At 41.2% G+C, this 9,299-nt stretch overlaps 2 annotated features.

Moving 5' to 3' along the window:
* Positions 6,194-6,488: an enhancer, noted in NCBI's record as "tiled region #4096; HepG2 Activating DNase unmatched - State 4:PromP". NCBI's record gives its function as "activates a minimal TATA promoter and a strong SV40 promoter by Sharpr-MPRA in HepG2 cells {active_cell/tissue: HepG2}" and the evidence as "EXISTENCE:reporter gene assay evidence [ECO:0000049][PMID:27701403]".
* Positions 7,574-7,868: a silencer, noted in NCBI's record as "tiled region #9735; HepG2 Repressive non-DNase unmatched - State 22:ReprW, and K562 Repressive non-DNase unmatched - State 21:Repr". NCBI's record gives its function as "represses a minimal TATA promoter and a strong SV40 promoter by Sharpr-MPRA in HepG2 and K562 cells {active_cell/tissue: HepG2 | K562}" and the evidence as "EXISTENCE:reporter gene assay evidence [ECO:0000049][PMID:27701403]".

Here is a 9,299-nt window from a genome sequence, read left to right on the forward strand (position 1 = left end):
GAGCAGGGATCCTGTTATTAGATTCCTTATTAACTCGCTACCCACAACCAGGGACTTCCATGGATTGTATGCATGCTAATGGGAGGAGAACCAAGCACACTAGACAGAAAAACCCAACGGAGGCTTCAGTCACTACCATGGCCACAGGCTGCAGTCCTAACCTATTTATGTTCAACCTTCTTACAAAAGGGACTGAGTAAAAGGCAGTGAACAAATTAGTGTTCACCTCTATCTTTGTTGCCATAAAAGCAACTTAAACTCGTTTCATCAAACATGAACATCATCTTAAAACAATAAAGAACTGAAAACTGTGCCCCAGACAGTGTTACTCTTGATGGTAACAGTGATCTTTATATAAAGGACTGTTCTATGAGGAATATCTGATCTTGACTAATAAATAATAGTGACTGACAAGAGGAGTCTTTGGCAAGGTAAACGGGGAGCTGCTTATACTTGCTGGCTCTATTTCTCACACACCAGTCACTACAATTCAGCTTAATTTGTCTTCCCTCATCAGTGCAAACAGTTCTCCCAGAGTCACCAGTGGCCTGCAATGACTGGATTTAAGGGCTATTTTTCAGTCCATTTTACTTAAACTCTCAGAAGTATCTTATGCCACAGCCAGCCCCTCCTACGTGAAATACTTTCTTCCTGTGATTTCTATAATCATGTGGAAACTTAGTTATCTCCTTCATCTTTTACCTCTTCTATTCATTCTCCTCAGCAAGTCATCCTTCAGTACCTAATCAAGATAAACTAGCATTCCATAAGACCTTCTTGCCTTTTCCCTCAGTGATCTTTCCCTAGGTGATCTTTCTATAGTCAGATGACTGACAAATTTATATTTCCTGCCCAGGTCGAGACTTTCCAACTCCAGACTTGTATACCCAGCCATCTCCTTCCTATCTCTTCATGGGGGTCAACAGATCCAAAATGGAACTCATGACCTCCCCTTCCAAACCTGGTCTTTTCTCTCTCTAGAAACAGCATCCCTATTTGTTCTCTTTTGCAAGTCAGACACATAGGGGTCATCTGGAATCCTTCCGTCTCCTTCATTGCTGATATCCACCTCCCACCAGCTTCTGCTGGTTTTACTTCTTAGGCAGCTCTCTTGCCCACCACATCTCTTCATCTCTACCACCATAAACCTAGTCCAAGCTTCTATCACAACTCACCAAAAATTGTAGTCCCCTCACTGTGGAAGGAGGAAAGAGTGGAAATTGGAAGAAAACAAAGTCTCTGTTACAATACCTGTAGGTTTATAACTGTTAGGATAAGTATAATAATCAATAAAATATTATGTTTCTCAAATTTGCTTATTTTTGTTTGATACTAGACCATTTATGAGACCAAGGAAGGGTCTCATTTTCTCAATGCTTTTAGCAAAGGAGTTCCTAAGACCTATGTCTAACTGATCACTGTGATGACGGTGCCATGTCTGTGGGGAGAGGAACAGTGGGGCCTAAGTCACTCTAAAAGCCCCTTAAGTCCAGGGATGCAAGGAAAACTGGATATACTTGCTTCCTCTCCCTGGTTTCCTGAGTCCTGTATTGGCTCAGATTAGAGGATTTCCTTAGTTCCTGTATGATCTAGCCCTTATGTGGGACAAGGTTAGAAGCTCTCCTGTCCTGACACTCCCCTGACACGCGCTTAGCAATGGACATTGCCCCTGGAAGCAGATTTGTAGGAGGATCCCAACTCAAGCCTGCATTAACCTACTTCAAAGGAGTCTGACTGGAATTGATCAGTTCTGGGTGGTTTTGTTCTTTATCCTCATTACCTACTGAATTTGTTGTTTATGATAATATATCCTAAGTCTCATCTTAGAAAATAGTCTCAGACAGTTGCAAGATCAGCCTCATAAACAGAAACAATTGCAGTAACAATTCCAAACAGTGGTACTCACCTCCCAATTCTGCTTTTTTGTTAGTCTTTCCATTTCTGTGCATGTCACAAACGGACCCTAGTCGTTCATGCCAGAAACCAAGGAATCATCCTAACACCATCTTCTCTGTAACCACTTCTACCCATATTCATGAAACCATCAAGTCCTTTTGTTTCCATCTACCAAATACTCCTAGGGTCTTATGCTTCTCCCAAATTTCACAAGCACCACCCTAGTCAAAGCCATCATCCTTCTGTGACCTGCCTACAGCAATAAACACCTAGCTGGTATTTTGCATGAACTCTTCATCACCTCCATGTATTGTCTACACAGAAGACCTAGTGTCTTTAAAGACATGGGTTATAGTGTGTCCTTCCCCCTTTGCTCTCACTCCACTCACTTATTTCAGTTCTTTCCACATGATCATCCTCTTTCCTGCCATGGGACCTTTGCAAATACTGTTTCCTCTCTCTAGAACTTTCTGTCCTTTTCATCATCTGGCTAATTGTTCACTCACTTCTAAGGCTCCGGTTAAGTGTTATTTCCTTGGCCCCTCAAACTAAACTGAATCCTGTCATGCTCTTACAAATTTACCCGTTGATTTGTCAGCTTCACTTGTTTTACCTGATAAATATATAGTCATTTTTACAATTGTTTAATATCTGTCATCTCAACCAAAGTATGAGTTCCAAGAGGACAGGGACTGCATCTGAACCAACACAAGTGTGGACTGGCACTTGGTAATGTCTTTGATGGAGGAGGAGCTCAGGCTGCCGTAACAAATTACCATAGACCGGGCAGCTTAAACAACAGGAATTTTTCTCACAATTCTAGAGGCTGGAAATTCCATATTAAAATCCAGCAGGGTCAGTTTCTAGAGGGCTCTCTTCCTAGCTTTCAAACAGCCACCTTCTTGCTATATTCTCATATGGCCTTTCCTTGGTACATGTGTGTGGAAAAAGAGAGAAAGATCTCTCCCTCTTCTTTAGGACACCACTTCTATCATATTAGGGGCCCATTATGACTTCATATAACCTTAATTACCTCTTAAAAGCCCTATCTCCAAATACAGTCACATTGGGGGTTAAGGCTTCAACCTATGAACTGGGGATGGGGGACACATTTCAGTCCATAGCAGAGTCCAATAATATTTCTTAAAAATATGAATATAAAGCACAATCACTAATGAAAAATGACTTGCCTTACATTGACAGTTGTCTATTGTAGTTGGGTTTCATGAATACGGAAGAATTAATTTATTGAAACTTTGTATTCAATCATAATTATCTTAATAAACATTTTGTGTTTATTTTTAATTTTTCCTTTTCTGTCATCATTTCCCAGGTAATAGTGTGGTGTTGGCATCTGGATATGTATGTGGCAAAATAAAAGAGAAAACGTTTTTCAAAAGTTTATCAGAATTTAGGGGAAGTTTGAAAGTTAAGTTTCTTTGGCCACTTGAAGACAGTTTAATTCTAAAGTCCTTTTAATTCTGGTTGTGAACCTTACTTCCTCGTTGTGATGGCTAATTTTATGTGTCAACTTGACTGGGTTAAGGGGTGCCTGGGTAGCTGGTAAAACATTATTTCTGGGTATGTCTGTGAGAGTGTTTCCAGAAGAGATTAGCATTTGAATCAGTAGACTGAGCAAAGAAGATTCACCCTTACCAATATGCGCTGGCATTGTCCCATCTCTTGAGGGCCCAGATAGAAGAAAAAGATGGAGGAAGGATGAATTCCCTCTCTCTCTTTGAGCTGAAACATCCATCTTCTCCTGCCCTTGGACATCAAACTCCTGGTTATGGGGCCTTCAAACTCACACAAGTGCCTCCCATTCCCCATCCCTCAGTGACATCTTAGGACTCAGAATTAATTACAGCACTGGCTTTCCTTGTTTTCCAGCTTGCAGATGGCATATCACGGGTCTTCTGGGTCTGCATAATTTCATGAGCCAATTCCCATCATATATATATATATACACACACTATACATATATCCTACTGGTTTTGTTTCTCTAGAAAGCCCTACCTAATGCACTAGGCAAATCATTGGTAGGGAAATAATCCTGGCTCATTGGAAGTGCAACAGGAATGATAAGTCTGACAGATCATCCCATTGTTCATGCTTAGTGTCTATCCTAAAAGAAATACAATAAGAACCTCCACAAAAACTTTGACTGTACTTTGATACTCGCATTTATTTTCCAGAGTGAATACTTCCTCTGGGTTTATTTCCAGAGGCTGCTTCTTTTTGGGGGGAGGGGGAGGGGCGGTGCAGGTGTAGGGGTAAAGGACATCTACTAATTGTGGCTTCATTCCAACTAAAGAAATTCCTCACATCTATTAATGACAAACTGCAATACTGTTGCTGGACTAGAAAATTATCTGTTAGAGTCAGTACAGCTACCAGGGTTATTAAGGAGCACATTTGTTTTTTTTCCCCCTGAGTCAGTGCCCAAAAGACATTTTATGTAGCCTCAGCTATTTTGAGTACAGTTACACAACTGGCTTGAACTTATTTTGGCAAAATCTTAGTGTGTGTGTCATGGGCAATAAAAAATTCCTGGAAAATATGTGTTTTCATACAAAGTACCATTACTTACACTTTCTGGAAATTAATTTCGTGTAAATCACAATGAATGTTTGATCTATAGTCTCATATAGCTAGTTGACTCTGACCAGAGACTAAGTGGCTATATGAAGAGAAGTTGGTCCAGAGAGATGTCTCAAGGGCTTGCCTGAGGTAGTAGTTGAAGCTGTGAGCCACAAAAGGCATGCCTGTCAAGGGCTGGCCTCACAGCCTAGTTTGCATTCCATCTTTTGGTGTAGTACTTTGTCAGAATGTAGCAAGTAGAGAAATTCTGTTGTGCATACATTTTATGGCTCTCAGTGGTTAGGATCTGAACTTGGTAGACATTTCACAGGGCACAAGATGGTAAAAGATCCATAAGGAGAGCCTGGGTGGTAAGGGTCAGAGCTCTGAGTTCTAGACCTATGTTTGCTGCTGAGTGACTTGGAGGTAGTCTGCCGCTTACAGGCTCTGCGACCGTGGGCAAGCCATTTGACCTCCTCTCTCTCTCTCCATTTTCTCATCTCTAATAGGAATAATATGAGTGCCTGCTTTGTAGCGTTGTTTGAAGATTAAATGAGTTGATGCACAGAAAACACTGAGGATAATACCTGACGTGTAGTTGGCACTCGATGTTCGTTGCTTACCTCTTTTTCTGTTTTTTATTTTTTTAATTTATTACATGATTATCCCACTAACTTGCCTCCAATGATTGTGGTTAAGTATAAACTACTAATCCTGCCCTGAGAAATGTCTCATTTGATGAGACAATGGTTAGAAATGGTCATTTGATGCAATAGTTTATAACATAAGTGAGCAAGGAACTATTTTCAAATATGAAAACTTTTGGGCCATGTATTTCAACTCCTTCCTCCATTTTTTAAAATTCTCCTCTAGATGCTTACAAGGGGGTTAGTACCCCTTGTTTAGGCTCTCTCCTCAAAACTCCCTTCCACTCCAACTCCCTAGTTTTCTTTAACTTTCTCCCCCTTAGGAAAGTGAAAGAATAAGAGCTCCAGCTAGAGACGCTTGATTGAAATAGCACGGGCACACGGCAGCCTCCTCTGCAGGGCTTTGCCAGCGAGCCCCGCCCCGCCTGCAGATCCTGGGTATGCTACTGGGTACGGGAACCGACCCCTGACCGTGAGGCTCGGCATCGGGCCCTGGCTGTTCTGAAGATAAGGACGATCTCCCTCCGGGGTCCAGGCAGCACTGCCCGTCTTGCTATCCTTGGAGTCTGTGCCAAGTACATCAGGAAAATCTCTTTTTCATTGTTTGATTTTCCACGGGCTTTGAAAACGTTCCCATTTCATACAGCCAAGTCCAGAATTAAATTGGACTTCACTGATCTTTGCTGACAAAAAATTCCCATTCCACTTCCTGAGGCTCTTCCGCCTGGATTTGTTTATTGGCCTCATAGATGATGTTTCTGACGTGCGCCCAGAGCTCCTCACTCAGAGCCCCTTCACACACGAGCTGACCCTGCACACTGCTTTGTGATATAAATTATTCATCTGATTTCTTCAGCACTAGGCAGGCATGGCCGAGGAGAGCCTCGCTTTCCCAACGTGGAGTCATTGACGTTTTTCTGTTTTCCCGCGAGGTGGTTAGGGAATGATTAAAATGGACTTGAAGAGTCAATTTCTGTTGGGATTGTGGCTCGGCAGTCAGCAATCTGCTAGGGTGGTCTGAGGGCCAGTCATTACGGAAACACTGCCAAAGCTGTGTCTTCATACTTCTCTCTTTCCTTCCTACCACCCTGCCGTACCTAGAGAGGGAGAATGGCAATGATGTGAGCATTTTATGTTTAAAAACAACAGCAACAACAAACTCAACCCCCCAAATCCCCTGAGCTTGCTTTCAATTCCCCTCCCCCTCCTTATCGCCCACGCCACCATCAACAGTGACACCTAGTGGTCAAATATAAATTAGTCCCTTTATTCTGAATTGACTAGCTTTCTACAGAAAATAAAATTTCCTGTAGAAGCAAATAAAGACTGAGCTTTACTCCTTCCATGAACATAGAGAAAGATGGATTATTCATAATGAGAAGCTAAAATATATTACTTGGGAGAAGAGGCAAGTGCATTTTTTTTCTTAAGAACATATTGGAGCTTTGTATCTTAAAAAATAGTTTCTATAGACGAGTGCTTGGTTTTCCTTTCTTTAATGATGGCCACTTTAATTTTATTATAATTTTAAAAGTTAACAGCTGTTCATCAATGTTTTAAGTTTCAACACCTATAATTGTTATGTTTAAAGTATTTAAAAATGTATGATAGTACAAATCAGTCATTTGCATAATCCGTCTCAAATTCTTGGAACCACATTTACTGGCAAAAAATGGTTTCCACTTTAGTGATGTAGTCTCCAGAAACAGGTGAAAATTTTTATTTTAAGAATTTTTTTTTCGGTAAGTGAGGAAGCAAAAACATTTATATTTTTAATGAAATCTTTTAGTGGTTAAAAAAGAAAAACCTTGAATCTTCTTTTAATTTTTAAATAATTATAGAGTCACAAGAAATTACAAAATAGTACAGAAAAGCCCTGTGTACCCTTCACCCAGTTTCCCACAATGGTAACATCTTACATAACTGTGATACAACGTCAAAACCAGGAAATTGACATTGGTACAATTTGTGGAATTTATGTAGATTTCACCCGTTTACTTGTATGCATTTGTATGTGTGCATAGTTCTATGCAATTTATCACGTGTAGATGCATGAACCACCACTACAAACAAGGTAAAAAATTGGTTCATCGCCACAAAGATACCTTCTGCTACCCCTTTATAATATTGAAATATATGCTTGAGCCCAGGCACCTTGTCTGCGGCAGAAAGAAGGCATGTATATGTCATCATCGTCACACACATTTACTGAACTCTATGGGTCTGCCTTGTGTTAATTGCTTATGCAGTAGATACTACTTATTTTTTTAACAACTACATTAATTTAAAAGGACAACAGGGGAGAATTAATAAAAGAAGAATGATAACTCATCTAATGTCTTGCCCTTTAACACAGTGGTCCCCAACCTTTTTGGCACCAGGGATTGGTTTCATGGAAAACAATTCTTCCATGGATGGGGGAGATGGTTTGGGATGAAACTGTTTCACCTCAGATCATCAGGCATTATTAGTTAGATTCTCACAGGAGCGCACAACCTAGATCCCTCGCATGCGCAGTTCACAATAGGGTTCGCGCTCCTGTGAGAATCCAATGCCGCTGCAGATCTGACAGGAGGCGGAGCTCAGGTGGTAAAGCTCACTTACCTGCCGCTCACCTCCTGCTGTGCGGTCTACTTCCTAACGGGACGGTCCGCAGCTCCGAGGCTGGGGACCCCTGCTCTAACACACCAGATAGAGTTTTTTCCAACTCTGTTTTGTATTTGATACAGATTTAAATCAACAAATATTATTGGGCACTGAGCTGGGTGATGAAGGAATTACAGGTGCTGACAAAGTGCACTGCTCAGCACCAATCCTCAGATCTCAAGGTCCGGTCTTCTTCTGGGAACCTCAGACAGCCAAGGCCAGGCTCACTCTCTAGAGTCCCAAGGACAGGACCAGTTCCAGTTGAGAGGCTTGGCACAAGTCACTTCCGCTCTTTTCAACCCTCCTTGCTAGGTTTTTCTTAGACAATTTACTTCTTCAATACTTGAATATCTGAAAAGTCACACCATATTGGGTAATACAGATTATCAATGTGATTTGAATTAGCTACTCCGAAGTAAGGAAAACTGAAAGGCAGTTTAATGATTGTTTTCATCTGTCCAAGCAGGCAATCTGACAGGAGGAGATACCTAGAAGAACATTGGACTGGGAGTCAGAGATGTGCCCTAGTGTTGACTTTGGCACGAACTCACTTGTGATATGATGTGAACTTTGAGTGTCTTAGGTTTCCCATATGAAGAAAAAGAGGCTCAGCAGATGGCCAAGTCCTTTTCAGTGTTATCTTTATAAAGCAAGTGTTAAAAAGTTTCTTTATGGTATCAGCTTCTAAATATTGGGTAGGTGATAAAAGTTAATTAGAAATGCTCCACATGACTTAAAATAGACTTCTGTCTCAAAATGAATGCTTTAGAACTATGTATTCTTATAAATGTGCCCTGTAAGGTCTACATAAGACTTTCCTCTGGAAGTCACTCTCAATCTTGAACGTCTAATGAAATGTATTTATTAGTAAATGATGTGCTAATACATGGTATCATTCTAATGCAACGTGTCTGTTGAGCAGAAATCTCACTCGTGAGGAAATTGTGATGCTAAATTCCTGATGTAAATATGTCTCTTTCCAGCTGTGTGATCTTGGCAAGTCAGTTGGCCTTCTTGGGTCTTATGTGTCCTCCTAAGTTTGCTATCTAAATACAGAAATTTTCTTAGATATCATTCAGGAAATTTCTAGAGAAAACTGAAAATACAGGAAAACACTTTGTAGTCAAGGGCAAGTGAGACACTACGCCAATAGTATATATGTATATATTAGGAAAAAACCTTCAGATATATGGTTTGTTCTACATGCAAAAGAGAAATAGTCTTTCACAACTTTGAAATGGTGGTTCTCCCTCACATAGGATCTCAGGGCCATTGTTCACTGGGTAAGGCTCTACTCAGCCTACCCTGGTCCCTTCACAGGAAAGCCTGCATTGATTACCCACTGGCTATGCTGCACAGCCAGCTGTGGTCCCCGCTTCCTCCACCTCACTTCCAGGCTCCCGATAGAGAGGAGTCCCAGGCATTCCCGCCTGAGCCATACCTCCTGTCAGATCTGTGGCAGCATTAGATTCTCATAGGAGCACGAACCCTGTTGTGAACTGCACATGGGAGGGATATAGGTTGCAAGCT

Source organism: Homo sapiens, chromosome 2, assembly GCF_000001405.40.
Source record: "Homo sapiens chromosome 2, GRCh38.p14 Primary Assembly".
Classification (NCBI taxonomy): Eukaryota; Metazoa; Chordata; class Mammalia; order Primates; family Hominidae; genus Homo; species Homo sapiens.